At 39.7% G+C, this 16,855-nt stretch overlaps 1 long non-coding RNA gene across 1 annotated transcript in view, besides 1 other annotated feature; it reads right to left on the bottom strand.

Annotated features, from left to right (window-relative positions):
• Positions 1-16,855, bottom strand: part of LOC105373893 (uncharacterized) — a 428,255-nt gene that overhangs the window by 215,168 nt on the left and 196,232 nt on the right. The window lies entirely within an intron of this gene.
• Positions 10,882-11,449: an enhancer, noted in NCBI's record as "OCT4-NANOG hESC enhancer chr2:221134071-221134638 (GRCh37/hg19 assembly coordinates)". NCBI's record gives its function as "activates a minimal SCP1, AML or CMV promoter by ChIP-STARR-seq in naive H9 embryonic stem cells {active_cell/tissue: H9 hESC(naive)}" and the evidence as "EXISTENCE:reporter gene assay evidence [ECO:0000049][PMID:30033119]".

The following is a 16,855-nucleotide window of genomic DNA, read 5'->3' as shown; positions in this document are numbered from 1 at the left end:
GAAGAAATAGGGATGTGCCAAACTCCAGCTTCACTCTTCCTATTGAAATATACATATCCCTGGGGAAGATTAATAGGCACATGCCTTAACAAAGGGTTATGAGGAGCAGGAAGGGTACATTTTATTTTCAAAACTAAATCTTTCTGGTTATACCCATATAGTATTTATATAGTAGATACTTCTAAGAAGCTCAAAGCACAGCCGTGTTTGGCACATTGGATTATGCATCAAACCACTCCTGTGTGGTTAGCTGATGGAGGTCATTTATTCATCTCATTTTCCCCTTGAAGGAAGCAAAGGCAAATTAAAGGAAAAGTTCTAAAGACTTGTCCAGAGGCGCTCAAACATGCAACAGTGGATCCAGAGTCCTTGCCACAGACCTTTGGAGCACATTTCCCCAAAAGGTTAGGTGCGTAAGTCTGGTATTAAGAAGCTCCAGCTGTCTATTATCTACTAATCAACAAAAGTTCATAGAGTCTTAGCTCTTTGGACAGTGTGGAATAAGCTGATAGATCCGTGCACTGTATGTAGGTGTTCCAACATATCCTATTGTTTGTAGGTAAAGAAAATTTTCAGTTAGGTTCAGTAAGGAGTGGTGTCAGGGAGTCACTCAGGTTTATAGTTCTTAAGTGTTTTAGCTATTTGTAATAAAATGCATCCTAGGACACTGACAGGGAGAGGCATCCAGAGAAAAATAAGATATGGTTTCTGACCTCATGGAGCAAAGAATCTAGTTGACTCATAGGATAATAGGCTAATACAATAATCTAGTTAAAGAATCTAGCTGACAAGACAAGTACTCAGGAAATGCTTAAATTTTAATGTGTAGCATTAGATGGCAGGTTTAATTAAATGAAATAAATAATGCATCATTTAGGGTTATGTTTGTTGCATGAAACAGTGACTGAAGTAGAAAAGAAACTTAGTGTAAGCACATGGAGTATCATGGGATAGAAAAGAAGGCTGAAGAGGCATGAAGCCTCAAAATGAATTAACAGTTCTTCGTGTCTTCCAAGATTCTACTCAAGATTCAAAGTCTCAGTAGAAAGAGTCCAGTGGGCTGGTCCCTTTGACCATACTGGGGCAATAATAGGAAGGATCTAATGGAAAAGAACTGTATGGATTTCTCAGCCTCTCACGTAGGAGGGCAGAGCCTCTGGGTTTATCATTTCTCTGCAACTCCACCCACTGAGTAATTCCCCCAAAGGCACTGAGGTGCTATCAGGAGGGAGGAATGCAAGAAGGGAGGCCAAAAGACGGCAAATGTTCTTTACCATGAAAGAAATTCAGCAAAGGGAGAAATCTCTGGACATGAATCAGAGAAGAATCATGGAGGAGGTGGGACTTGAGGTTGGTAGATGTGTTCCCAACACTTAATTAGATGGAGCAAGAAGAAAACTCATGACTAATACAGGAAGAGGTGAGGTTGGGACAGCAGATAATGCTGTCAAATAATAAAGTTCACTGGACTTAAATAATAATAATAAATACTTTTTTTTTTTTTTTTGAGACAGAGTCTCGCTCTGTCACCCAGGCTGGAGTGCAGTGGCTCAATCTCGGCTCACCACAAGCTCTGCCTCCCGGGTTCCCACCATTCTCCTGCCTCAGCCTCCCGAGTAGCTGGGACTACAGGCGCACGCCACCACACCTGGCTATTTTTTTTGTATTTTTAGTAGAGATGGGGTTTCACCGTGTTAGCCAGGATGGTCTCAATCTCCTGACCTCATGATCCACCCACCTCGGCCTCCCAAAGTGCTGGGATTACAGGCGTGAGCCACCGCTCCCAGCAATAATAAATACTTTGTGTGTGTGTCTGTGTGTGTGTGTGTCTGTGTGTGTGTGTCTGTGACAGAGTCTCGCTCTGTTGCCCAGGCTGGAATGCAGTGGCGCGATCTCAGCTCACGCAAGCTCCGCCTCCTGAGTTCAAGCAATTCTCCTGCCTCAGCCTCCCGAGTAGCTGGGATTATAGGCACGCATCACCATGCCCAGCTAATTTTTTGTGTTTCTTTAGTAGAGACGGGTTTTCACCATGCTGGCCAGGCTGGTCTCAAACTCCTGACCTCAAGTGATCTGCCCACCTCAGCCTCCCAAAGTGCTGGGATTATAGGCATGAGCCACTGAGCCTGGCCAATAAATACATTTTTAAAAAAAGAATGTACAAGTTTATTTGGTTGCCAGGCAAGAGAATATATTCCAATGAAGAAATGTACTGAACTAGGTTAAAGGTAAAAGTTGGGAATTTTAAGGTTGACTATTCTATATCCAAAATGCTTGCAATCAGAAGTGTTTCAGATTTTGGATCCTTTTAGATTTTGGAATATTTGCATTAGACTTGCTGATTGAGCAACCTAAATCCAAAAATCTAAAATCCTAAATGTTCCAATGAGCATATCCCTTGAGCATGATGTTAGTGCTCAAAACATTTTGGATTTTTGAGCATTTTAGTTTTTCATTTTTACATTTGGGATATTCAACCTGTATTCACAAATGAGTTGATAGTGGTTATGTCAAACTTGCTCTCTGCACAGTGTGGAACGAGCCAATAGAGCTGTGCAGTGTCCATGAGTGTTCCAACACGTCCTATTGTGTGTAGGTAAAGAAAGTTTTCAGTAAGGACTGATGTAAGGGAGTCACTCACATTCAAAGTTCTTTAGTTGTTTTAGCCAGTTGTAATAAAACACAGCATTCCATTTTGATATCTCTTGGGTAGGAGGAAAACTTTTAGAGTGCTTGGCTACAGTTTTAATCACATATAAGAATAATAATGTTTATATATGCATAACAAATAAACTTTAAACTTTAATGTTTACAAATTCTTTCACAAATGTTAACACAACTGGGCCTCACCAAACTTCTATGCCATATCTATGACCTCCGTTTCTGTTTTCATTTTACAGAAAAGAGCCAAGTTCAGAGAGGTAAATGATTTGCCCAAGATAGCAACCAGGGTCAGCCAACTAACTATGTATTTCTTTTTCCAAGTCATGCTTCACAAGGAGGCGGCAAAATATTACACCACATATGAATTTTAGTAATCCATGCTTTCCTAAGATCTAGATGAAATTAAATAACCTAATAAACATTTATATATATTTTCAAGATAAAGATAAAATTCCTCGGATTAAAAAACTAATAACAACAGCTCTTTTAATGGGAGAAAGAATCATGGAAAGCATGTGTCATCAGGTATCAAATATTTACTCAGTGCTTCACTTTGGGCAAACTCTCCTCCAAGACAAGCCAGGGCCCATGGCCAAGAACCTGGGGAAAAGCCTAGAGTCAGACTGGATGGAGAAATGAGAGAGAGGAATGACTGGCCTGCAACCAGAGTTTTAAGCACAAGGAATCCAAAGGATTTCATTGAAGGCAAAGCTGCAAACCAGAAGGAAGCAAGGGATTGAACCAAAATTTCTCTGCAAAAGCAGAAAAGGCAGAAAGAAATCAGAGAGTTACAAGACTGGAGCCAGAAACCTCAAGCAGAATGGTGGGAAAGAGGCTTTTGGAGGACAGGGAGTTTCCCAAGGCCTGCTGTAAAGAGAGAGAGATGTTGGAAAGAGGGGAAGAGGCTCCCAGAACCTGATAAAAGGGAGACATAAGAAAGCCCAAGAAGGAATCACCCTTAAATAGCTCTCAATCAAGCTGTAAAGATAAAACATAAACATTGAGGATACAGTTAATAGCACAGGACAATAAACCAATAACAAACTAAAGAAGTTAATGGGAGACACAGGAGGTCAGGAAAGGAGAAGACCATTCCAGGCTAGGTCTGCCTCCGAAAATTCCACCAAGGAATGACACAGACCTTGAGAAATGTGCTTATGGCCCATATCTCTTGCCAATTTGCTTCAAAATGCACTCCCAGGCTTAAAACTTATTTCTCAATTTATCACTCTTGGGGAGTGTAGCCCTGGCTCCCTTCATTTCTAGTTTTTCTATTCCTATGCTAGATGATTTTTCTGAAAGCCAGCCAAAGTATCAGATCACTCTGCCTTCATTTCACTGAATTTCAACAGACTTATACTGAGTACCTCCACTCTGCGCTTGGCACTGTACAATGTGTTGGACTTAGAGAAATTAATAAGGGACAGGCCCCTATCCTCAAGAAACTTGGAGTTATTCATTCAGGAAATACAGACATATACACAAATACTTATGTAGGAAGGTCTACAAAAGGAAACAGTGCAAAAGCTAAGAGCAATGAATTCTTTGTGTGTGTGTGTGTGTGTGTGTGCAACAAGGCTGTTTATTTCACCTGGGTGCAGGCGGGCTGAGTCCGAATAGAGAGTCAGCGAAGGGAGATATGGGTGGGGCCATTTTATAAGATTTGGGTAGGTAAAGGAAAATTATAGTCAAAGGGGGGTTGTTCTCTGGCGGGCAGGTGTGGGAGGAGGAAAGACTTTTTTGCATTCATTTATTCAGCATGTTTTTGAGCATTGACCAAGTGCCCAGCACTGTGATGAGCACTGAGGATCACTCACTGTTTATTTAGTAAGCCACAGTGCTTCCTGAAGAGTAGTTTATATTTTAAGTTGGGAAGAAGCCCATCTGAGTGAGAACCAAGAAGAAATGTTTTGGTCATCCTGAGACTTTAGTATGAAAGGATAAAGAGCTGCAGAATGCAGAGTGGGTCTAATACGGTGATATGGTTTGGGTCTGGATCCCCACCCAAATCTCATGTCAAATTGTAATCCCCAGTGTTGGAGTAAGGCTTGGTGGGAAGTGATTGGATCACGTGGATGAATTTCCCCTTTGGTGCTGTTCTCATTATAGTGAGTGGGCTATCTAATTGTTTAAAAGTGTGTAGCACCACCCCCTCCTCTCTTCTTCCTCCCGCTCCAGCCATGTAAGACAAGCCTGCAAGATGTGCCTGGTTTCCCGTTCACCTTCTGCCATTATTGAAAGTTTCCTGAGACCCTGCCCCCTCTGCCAGCCATGCTTCCTGTATAGCCTGCAGAACTGTGAGCCAATTAAACCTCTTTTCTATATAAATTACTCAATCTCAGGTATTTCTGTATAGCAGTGCAAGAAGAGACTAATATATTTGGTATCATCATGATGGACTTCTTGATACATGACCTGTTCCCCCATATCCCTTCCAAATCAGGCATGGTCCTCTTAGGAATTTGCCATGAGCAAAAGTAACAATCCCAAATACCTGTCATTTCAACAAGATTCCTGTATTACTCATCAAAAGGAGCATTCACTACAGCAGAAAAGTTTATGCATGGGCAGAGATGGGACACAGTTCAGGATGGCATCAACTCTGCCTTGCGCCACTCGTACGCATTCTGGCACAGGCCAAGGGGAAGCCAGCTAGAGGGTCTACAGCCCACCACCCCAGAAACCACTCCAGGTTCTTAACCTCTGCCAGACTCACAGAGTTTCTGAAGGACTGGATGACTACCACTCAGAATCATCTCTGGCCACTGATTAGTACCTACCCCATAGGGTTGTTAGGAGGATTCAATGAATTAATAAGTTGCAGGGTTTAGAACTACCTGCTACATAGGAAGTATCCTGTAAGTAATAAATATTCTACCACTATCATTCAGTAATCAGTCCAAATATGTCAAGCAATTGCTTTTTAAATTACAAGCAAACAAGGAGAGAATGGAGAAATCAGTTTATTAACTGGACTTGAGACATAGGGAAAATGTGTAATTGGCTGCAAAATTCTGATTTTTAAAAAGAACAATGATTATCTCCCTGGTTATAAAAGTAGAGTGGCCATGCCCTCCTAGTTATTAGTAATGGCAAACACCATGTGTGTATGTGTTAATACATGTGCATATATGTGTGCCATGTATGTGTGTGTGTCAACCACTTAAAGCAGCCCTAGAGACAGCTATAAAAGCAGCCTTCAAGCATCTTTTTAAATATGATAAGCAGTTTGTTTTCTCCAAAATGTATATCAAGGAATTCACCTCTTCATTTCTCCCATCCATTCCAACCTCACCTGGGTCTTCTTTTCACCTCTTATTCCGAAACTCAAAATGGGAATGACATTTTGGATATGTCTTCTGATATATTTTCCTTTTCAGTAATCTGATTCCTGCCCCCACCAAAAAAAAATAAAAATAAAAAAACTATCCCATTATTACTGCCGAAAGAAGGGGAGAGCATAAACCCCCAGGCTTGAGAAGGAAGTGGTGGGAGCTCCCAGACTGATCTGGGTGATCCCCAAAGAGGAGGATACCTGCCTCTTGCTTTTCAAGGTGCATGTTATAGAAAGCATTAGCTTCCTTGAGAAGATAAAATTTGGACATACAGCCAAATGGATGAGGTATCCAGGCAGATCTTTGTGGCCAAGTGTGGCATCTGGGAGCTCAGAAATTTCAGCAAGCCCTCTCAGCAAGGAGTGCTATGGGAACCAATGGGCTTTCATAGGATTATTGAGGTTGTAGGTCAGCCAAGGCATGGACCGTGGTCTTTAGCAAAAGCAGCCAACATGATTCCCTCAAACCAGGTGAGCCCAGCTACACTCAGTGGGCCGTAGCACCAGATGCCAGTGAATCTCTCAGAGGAATCCAGCAAGGACCCACCAACGCCTATTACCCAATCCCCACCCTCCATAGCTTATACAGACTTCCTCTTACACTATGTGCAATTAGGAAGAAGGAAGAATAGAGGAGATCTCTTCAAAGGAAGAAAACCTGCTTTGATTGGGGGGCTGAGCTTTCAAATGACGATTTGAAAGAGACTAATAGAAATGCCACTGACTGAATCATCTTTAATTGATGCAATCAAGCCCCTCCCCCATTCCACCATAAACAGAACTGAGGAGTTTAGAGCAAGGTGAGGCTCATCATAAAAATAAAGTTGCATGCTTTTACATATCTGGTTAAAAGACTACGCATAAATAGAGCAGAGTTATAGTGATGGGGTTTCCAAATTTTGGGGGACATCCAGTATTATCTATAAATAGTTTATCCCATTGTCCCCATAATCTTAACTTTAACTTAGAAAGCATGAAGATTATCCAAGGAGTATTATCATTTTGGAAATTGTTAATTTTTTTAAGGAAAGAACCATTATGCATTTCTCAACTAAAAGGAAATACTGCTAAACATGTAGAAAACATATAATGTAGGCTTCTCACAAGCAAGTGACACTTCTACTCCCACTGCCTTTGGAGAAAGAAAATTTTTCTCTTGACCTACTTTTAAATAAAAAGAAAAAAAATAAAATCTGCCATACTACATATATACTACTCCCAACTTATGAAGAGAAGGTAAGTGCCCAATATAAATATTACAGCTAAAGAAAACCAGAAAGAATGAAAATTATTATAGAATTAAAGTTAAAATGCCCACAAAAGCCAGGAGAGCAGAACCGATCTAAAAATGTAATTCTGGGTGCAAAGAAGCAGATTAAAGGGTCTCATTTCTTTACTAGATAAAGACTACAAGATCCATGCTCTTCTGTCCTCAAATGTTTCCCAAATTCCAAAGAAGCCTGGCTCTTTTCCAGGGTGGGAATTTGAATACTTTAAAGAGTGTACAACTCGAGATGCAGCAAAAGATAAACAGCCTTCTATTTACCTTAGGTCAGCCTGAGAACTTGAAATTGCCATTGCAAAAAAAAAGTAAACAGATGATAAAAGATAATTTTCCCTTTTAATGGAAAAGAAATGCAAAATAAAATAAAGTAGAGGTGTGATCTTACAGTTTCAAAATCAAGGAGCAAATATTTTTAGTGATAATATGCAATTTTGATGAGGTTTCAGTAATGCAAGGACTGCTGGAAGCCTACAACCTTTTGGTGAGCAATAGGCCAATCTATAATGAGAGCCATAGAGATGTCCCTGGTCTCTAAACAGCAACACTATTATCCAAATTCTGAGAATTAACATAAAAGAATTCAGAAGAAGCAAATGGCTATCTACACAAAGATATTTACTATAGCCTTTTCTATACTGCCAAGGCAAACAAACAAAAAACTCAAAAACTAGAAACAACCAAATGTCCAAAACAGGTTTATGACACATTAACATAATATTCTGCTTCCTTGAAATTATTTACAATGCAATCCATGTAAAAATATGAAGCTATATTTATTATATATTGTTAAATGGAAAAATAGGATATCAATATGTACCTACCCTCTTTCAAAAGACATGAAAATGCATGCAGTATAAAAATAATAAATACAGGTTTACTCTATAGCAAAGTTCCATTTTCTTTCTTACTTAAAAACACCTCAATATTATTTTTGTGATTTCAAGAAACTATTCTGTCTCTTCAAAAGTGTATTTTTTAAGAAAGTCCTTTCAAAAAGCAGTGTGTCTCTGATATAAATCCCGAGGGTAAAACTACAGTGTAAATAATTATTTTTTAAAGGTAGAAAACTTAGAGATTAACAAAGAAGAGAAGTAAAATGGTTGGAGTGAATAATATTGCCTGGGAGAATCCAGTCTCACTAGTAACCATTTCTTAACACAGGAAGGCCAGGTGGTAGAATTTTTGTATTTTGTTTCACTTTGTGTGTGTGTGTCTGAAGCTTTCTCTCTCTTAACTATGGAAGGTGAGAGATTAAAAATAATAATAATAAAATAAAAACTCTCATTGGTTAGCTACACTGCAGAACTCACTGCCAATTCTGAACAGAAAAGAAAACATCAGCTTGGACCAGAGTTAATGCTACATAAGATTCTTACACCTAAGAGATTAATGCCCCTACCGAAAGTACCCATAGGAGCTTTTAAAATCAAAGCTCAAAGTAACGTGTGGGTAGCCCTGCCTTGGACAGAGCCCAATATTTGAAGGTTAAAGTGTTTTCTAAGGAGAGAATGGAAACCAAACTCAATTAAGGAGAGATGGATAGTAAATTGAATTTAGTGCTCAAAGGTGTATTATACTTTGGGAGTTGTACTTCTTTAAATAGTCAGCACGGTAGAGCAGAAAAAGCACTACAGCAGGCGTCAGATGATTGGGTGCTAATCACCGCTTTGCCACTAACTACCTGATGGCCTCAGAGAGGAAAAATGCTTGCGTTTGGTTTTGTTTCATTTGAAAATTGAAGAAATTGGGTTAGATGGTCCAAGTCTGCTCATAGGACAGATCTGTTCCTGGTGGGACTGCTTAGGAGGCTGGTATTAGATATTTGAGAGACTGCAGATTATGTCAAGAAGTGTTGTTGTCATTGAACGACTATTTCACAGAGAATAGGTCCCCATTGCTAATGTCCTCCAGCCCAACAGCACCAGACACACACCTATATTCAACCAAATCAGGCTTATTGGCTCATTACATTGAAGGACCCACCACATTATGGAGAACCATGAAATGGGCATCTTCGTTAGAGGGTTTTAGAATGGACTTGTGTTAGGATTTGGCTTGTTAGGTAACTTAAAGGAAGGCTCAAGAAAGCAGTTTTGTTTCACATAGGGTACCATCAGAAATCAGGGCAATTCTGGCCGGGCACAGCGTTTCATGCCTGTAATCCCAGCACTTTGGGAGGCCGAGGCAGGCAGATCATGAGGTCAGGAGATTGAGAAGAGCCTGGCCAACATGGTGAAACCCTGTCTCTACTAAAAATACAAAAATTAGCTGGGTGTGATGGCACGTGCCTGTAATGCCAGCTACTCAGGAGGCTGAGGGAGGAGAATCACTTGAACCAGGGAGTCGGAGGTTGCAGTGAGCCGAGAATGCGCCACTGCACTACAGCCTGGCGACAGAGCAAGACTCTGTCTCAAAAAAAAAAAAAAAAAGAAAAAAGAAAAGAAAGAAAGAAAAAGAAAAAAGAAAGCAGGGCAATTCTATCATTGGATATCTTAATAATTTTTTTTCTAATAGGAGGAACAGTGAGGCTAAAGCTATAATTGGTAAAGAAGCAGCAATCACTCATATTAGCCCAGAAATGGAAATGTTTGGCCATTTTGGTCTGGACATGTTCTTGTCTTTGACTCTGTTCAGACATGTTTAGAGTTGTTTTGTTTTTGTCTTGCTCCATCCATGATTGGAGACAGGTATTGTCTAATATTGACATTCTGTGAAATTGTTTATGTCCTATAGAACTCTATGGTCTAGCTGTTACAACCAGACAGCTCCAAGCAGACAACAGTCAGAGGCTGCAGTTTTTTTTCTTACCACGAAGGAAATAATTAACTCCAAGGGTAAGTAATTAGCTGACAAGCCAGAAAAGGAGGCCCCAGGCTGGAAACTATTGAAAAGTACTCAATCCATAAAGCTGAAGCTCTAGGAAAATGACCCAGAAAACAAGTAAAAGGTATTGACTTGGAAGAAAAGAAAAAAAAAAAGACATATATATGAGCAGGTGACACAGGATGGATGTAGAGCTGACTCTGGAATAGAGAGCTTCCACCAGGTTGTTCCATTCATGCAGAGGCCCACAGAGTTCATTGCTGAGGCAGATTTTTAAAGAGATTAATCATGGTCAGACATAGTAACATCTCAAGTATTTTCCAGCTCTATAATTATATGAAACCTTGCTCCAAATGCTATTCTAGTTTAAACACAAAATTGATGTGTGTTGAAAATAACAGATGTTGGTTGGTCTATTTTAACAATTTACTTTATTAAAAATAGAATTAAGCCATTAGATGATGTGCTCTATTCGATCTCTCAATTGTCTATGCATGGATCACGGGGACTACCATTTACCATTTGAAAGTTACCAAAAGTATAGAAATAATATTCAAGAGGAAATAAGCTTGTAAAAGTGGGAAGAATATGCATTTCATATTATATGGAGCCTTCCTGGTTTCACAGAGTAAGTCCCACTTCCCAAATAATGTATCAGCTCATATCAGAGCGTGTACTCCGATATTTTTCTCAAATATTGGAAAGCTTGTCTTGCCAATGCAGATCTATTTAGTCATGCTAAAATTCACAGTCCGTAATGGTTAATTGGTTTCACATTCTGGTAAGTATCTGTAAGATAGGATTCTGGATAACACTGAAAATTATTTAAACAGCACATGCTGAGGCACAAGCCTCTCCACCACACATCTGTGGATCTCCTGGGGTGTATGCTTAGAATATAATGATACTATATGCCACACAGGGTTATCAGTATCCTAAGAAGCCCAAAAACAATTTTTGGAAGTTGCAGCCGTATGCATGGCTTGCAGAATGACAGACTAGAGATGGTGTTAGTTCCAGTAATTAACTTTGCAGCATCAGGGGCAGGAAACCCCCTGCTGAGGGCATCAATAACTCCATTCCTCAAGGGGAAGTCTTGCTGGTGCCTGGGTGGATCTGTGACCTTTGGCAGATGGAGTAGTATTTGAATACACAAAATCAGGAAAATAAAAACGATAAAAGGCAGGCAATTTGCTAAATGAAATGTACATAAACTGAACTGCCTGTAACAGTTCATCAGAAACTACGAGGATCACCCGGAGGGTTTTTAACCACTTCCACAACAAATGATCCTGAAATACCCTCTTTTGTTTTTCATTTCTTTCTTGAAAATATGTACAAGTAGTAAATAGAAATACACTTGGCCCCCACCCATTTCAGACATTGTCGCCTGGTCTCCATTTAGGGTGTGTGTGTGTGTATGTGTGTGTGCATGTGTGTGTGTGTGTGTGTGTGCATGCGCGTATGTATGTATGTTCATATTATATACACATATATATACATACACATATATGTTTTTACTTATTTATAATTTTACACCCATTGTAATTTTTATCCGATAACAGAAAGCAAAAGAATATGTCTCCCTTTCAGGTAAAACCTCCTTAAGAGTTTTTCTGAACAAAGTTTAGTGAAAAGAAGAAATCAGGTCATTATGAACCAACCAGCCATTCTTAGGATTCAATTTGAGCTGCTTTTATTTGTATCTCAATTCAGCCTTCGTCACCTCAGTGCTCAGTGATGGGAACACTGACCTTGGAAAAACTGCAAAAGTTTCTAGCAGCTCTCAGATGGGTAACGTGAGGCTCTTGGAGGATATTTCTCTACACTGCATGCTCACACTCATCAACCTAGATCCAAGGGTGCACATGGCCCCCAAGAAGCCCACGCGGTTTCATGGGTTAAGGCAGAAGTTCTCACACTTTACTACATGTTAGAATCACCAGAAGACCTTTGAAACTCCCAATGTGAGACCCCTAGAAAGGCATCAGTACTTTTTAAAGCCCCTTGGATCATTCTAATGTGCCACCAAGTTTGAGAAGAAATGATTTAGGGTTAAGAAAAAAAAAATCCCAAAGATCAGTAAACACCTCATTGTTGTGACTTGGTTGGAATGGGGCCAAGCTACCACCCAATGATGTTTTAGGGTGAGCCACCCCTAAGAACCAGGGAGGAAATAAAAGGACCCGGTGCAATTTGAATAGAGGCCCAGTGACTGCTACAGTTTGTTTGTACAGGATACCATACTCCACCATGAGTTGGGTAGGACTGAGTGAACCTTTCTTGCCAAGCTTAGAAAAGAGAACAAGTTGAGAGAAAATGCAGGGCGAAGATGCCTCTGTGGCTCTCAGCACTCAGGCGGAAATGATTTCCACCTTCTTGGCCTACAACTGATCAACATCCATAAAACCTTTTTTGGGGTATGAAAAGAGTCCAAGGTTACAGTTCTTACTTCCAGTTTTTCCAGGCCCTTCCCTTATTCGCTCCACTTTCCTGCTTCGGTTTGCATGCCTTTTTAAGGTACAAGGCACCTGGGAGCAAAGTCATGGTGACAAACAAGCTTTGACTTCAGAGAGCCAGGTGTGTGAATGCAGCCAGAATGCAGAAATGGGCAGCTGCGATTATTTCTGAAATTCAAGGAAATATTTTGTCATACACTATAGCCAGCTAGTAAGATTCAATTCAGAGTTGTGTATTCCACTCAATATTAAATTTACACAATCAAAGGAAAATTACTAACAAGTTTGCTTGAATACCCTGCTATTTATTGACATTCTCAAGGTCCAGAATCATACCATGTGATCCTAGTTACAGCTGCATATTGAATTCTCAGCTTTTCTGGCTCCTCCTTTTCTGATTGGATGACATAAGCACTTTATATCTTGCGCATTTGATATTTAATAATTAATAAACATTCATTGACTAGGCGAATAATTGTGTGTTAATATGGTATTTATGATGGGCCAGACACTGTTGTAAGTACTTTATAGATATTAGCTCATTTAAGCCTCAATAAGCCCTAGGAGCTCTGTACTAGTATTAGGCCCATTCTACAGTTGAAGCCACAGAAACATAAAGAGGTTAAATCAGATTTGGGATTCCAAGCCAGGCCAGCCAGCTCCAGCAGTTGCCTCTTTGTAAAGAGTGAGTGAATGATGAAGACTTTTTCTTATTACTGTGGGTTTCTTCCTTTAGACCAGGTGTCCCAACCCCAAGGCTACAGGCCAATCTGTAGCCAGTTAGGAATTGGGTAGCACAGCAGGAGGTGAGGGGCAGGCAGGCAAGCATTACAGCCTGAGCTGTACCTCCTGTCAGATCAGTGGTAGCATTATATTCTCATAGGAGTGTGAGCCCTATTGTGAACTGTGCATGTGAGGGATCCAGGTTGCACACTCCTTATGAGAATCTAATGCCTGATGATCTGAGGTGGAACAGTTTCATGCTGAAACCATCTCCAACCCCACCCTCCCAACCCACCCACCATCCATGGAAAAATTGTCTTCCACGAAACCAGTCCCTGGTGACAAAAAGACTGAGGACCACTGCTTTAGACCACGTGCTTCCTAAGGCAATGCTTACTTTTGCAGCCCAACTTATTTGTAAGACTTCCACATTGCTATAGGGAAACACAGCACATTGCTTCTGACTATTGCATTCCATCTAAAAAACAGAACAGATTTGAAAAAGCCATTCCTCTAGGGATGGAGTCCCAGGTTACTCCCAACTTTTGCTACCATAAACAGTAAGCAGGGCGCATCCTAATTTGTATCTATCTCTTGAGGACTTCTACAAGAGTTTCTAAGGTGTCTACCCAGGAGTAAAATTTCTAGGGTGTAAAGCAATCACACATTTAAGTTTATACACATTACGCCATTGTCCTCTCACCCTCCAGGAATGCTACAACAGTTCACCCTCCCGTCAATGATGTGTGAGGAAGAAGTTAGCACTTTATAGGGTCTGTGACCAAGCACAACTAAATAACTAAAAACAATTTAGAATCTCTTATTTTTAAATTGCCATGGTTCTACCTAAACCCCTTTTAGCTTATGCCAATTTTGTTAAGAATTGTTGCAATTATTTTTATTCTCACTAAAAATAGATTAATTATTACATAGTGTTAATACCACATTCCAAATTCCACTTGTGATTTTAAATATGACTTCATTCTATGAATATCTCATAATGTATAAAAGCTACCATGTGTATTTTTGTTTCCTATGGAACAATAACTCAAAATTAATATGAAAGTTATAATATACCTATTCCTACAAAATATGTACAAATATGTATTTGGCAATAGTGCAGTGCTCAAGGAAACACCTTAAGAAATATCAGTCCCACTATAAAGTATGTTGGAATTTAAAAGGGTCTGGGGGCAGCAGCGGAGAAGTAGAAAGAATAAAAAAAACTATACCCAACATTTGAACCACCAGGAATGTGCTGGCCAGATTCAGATTGTTGGCAGGAAAAGATTTTTATAATTTCTTTTCCATAATTTAGCCTAGCTGGATAATTACATTTAGAAAACTAAGAGAGTAACCACAGACGTGTATGTAATGGAATTTTAAAATGTAGATATATCCCTCAAGGAAATAAAAGGGGCAATAGAAGGCTATCATTATCAACTTTAGAACAAAAGTTGTGTTCACTCCAACCCAAAGAATAATTAAAATCAGTCAAGACGACACGGAATGCCAATCTTATACACTTGTCATTTCAGAAAGCTAGCTTGACAGTTGTACACCCACTCTGGTTGACAGTCAAATACGTTTCTAAGGAATAGATGAGCTTTTACAGGGGTGAGTAGCAAAGTCTTTCTATCCAAACCAGTTTCCCTCAAAGAGTTTGGAGGTTTGTTTGAAGCAGCAGCTTTGGCTAAAGTCATTCATGTTTCTCCATAAATAGTTGAAACCGTCACGAAGGCATTGTATAGAAAATAAAAAGGGTATAGGCTTGGGGTCATCTGGATGACAGTTGTACTAATTATATGATCCTAGGAACGTTGTTTAACTTCTCCTTCTGGAAGTGCCAGAGGAGAAATCAGTGTCCTTGCCTTTTCCAGCTCCTGGAGGTCACCTGTGTCCCCTGGCTCATGTCCCCCTTTCAGCAATCACATCACTCTGCTTCCATCCTCATGTCTCCTTCTCTTCCTCTTACCCTCCCACCTCCCTCTTTTATTTATAAGGCCCTTAGTGGTTTACATCAGGGCCCCACCCAGATAATCCAGGATAATCACCACATCTCAAGACACTTAATGTAGTCAAATCTGCTAAATCTATTTTATCCATTCACAGGTTCCAGCAGTCAGGACATGGACATCTTTAGGGGCTGCTATTCTGCTGACCAAATCAGCTGTGTACCGTTTGACAAGGTGCAGTCTTACTGGACCTCAGTTTCTTTCTATGTCAATTGAGGAATGTTCATTACTTTGAGGATTAAATGAAATAATGAGGGTCAAGTATTCAGCACAGGGCCTGGCTCACAAAGCAAGTGCTCAGTAAGTGCAACCCACAACAACACTAAAAACAAAAATAGAACAACAAGAATGATGCAAGTGGCCTGAGCACTTTATAACTAAAATTGTTTTAGTTTTTTCACTGTCCACCTGTGAAAGACATCTTTATGATCATATGGAAACAATGTCTCTTGACTTTTTTGTTAGCAGTGATCAGAACTGGAATGTGTTATAAGACAGAAAGATTGCTTAGAGCTTTAGTAACAGACTAAAAATAGAGCCTAGTAGAAAAAAATTAAATAAGCCATACCTAAGCTCAAAAGAAAGATTGAAATTGGGGAGCAGGCAACATATATCAAAACCCTTAAAACTGCACATTTCCAATAACCCATTTAGCCAACTTATTAGAGTATATCAAAAGGACACAGGAAAACTTAGGTACAAGGGTGTAACAACATTGTTTGTAAAAGGAAAAAAGAATGAAAAACACATTGTTAATCATGGAATACTTAAGATAAATTAAGTCTATATTTAAAAGAAAAAAAAAGGAAGAAACAGAAAAGAGAAGAAGCATGCCAAAATGTTTAAACTATTGCATTATGGTAAATTATGGGTAATTTTTATTTTTTTCTACTTGCTTAGCTTTATGTTCCAAATTTTCTACAGTTTTCTCCTTTGTAATAGACTCAATCTGATCTTGTTTGTCGGTGGAGTCTGTTGATTTTACATTGCAACACGGAAAGATGGAGTTCAGTTAAAATCTGCCTGAGCTGGGCCCACCCACCCACGAGCCAGTTGATCCTACAATCTGAGAGTCAGGCAAGAGACAGCGCTTTCCCAGTTCTTAAGAAATTTAAGCTACATTTAAGTCAGACATAAAAGCAAGCAGGAATCAGAGGAAGGATAGAGGGGTCTTAGATAGTCAAAAAAACTAAAAATGTTTTTTTAATCCTGGGTTGGATGCAGACAGAACTGGAGTGGTTAGAGTCCTCAGAAATAATGGGTCCTTTCAATAAAAACCTACGTTACTCATTCTATGTAATGCCATTGTTAATATTAGCATCCATTCCCCACACATGTATTTATGTGTGTGAACCAGACATTCTGTTGCATTCAGAAACATTGACTTGAGATTATATCAGGGATGTGGTAGGCGGGGGCACAGGGTATAAAGGGGAGAGGAATTTCTGATGTTATAGTCCAACACCAGAGCTGCAAATAGTGTGATCACCCTCAAGTAAGAACACCTGTGCCCTAGACTCATCATTCCATTAATTAACTATGTGACCTTGAGCAG

Source organism: Homo sapiens, chromosome 2 (genome assembly GCF_000001405.40).
Source record: "Homo sapiens chromosome 2, GRCh38.p14 Primary Assembly".
Taxonomy (NCBI): domain Eukaryota; kingdom Metazoa; phylum Chordata; class Mammalia; order Primates; family Hominidae; genus Homo; species Homo sapiens.
This window is presented reverse-complemented; position numbering and strand designations above follow the sequence as displayed.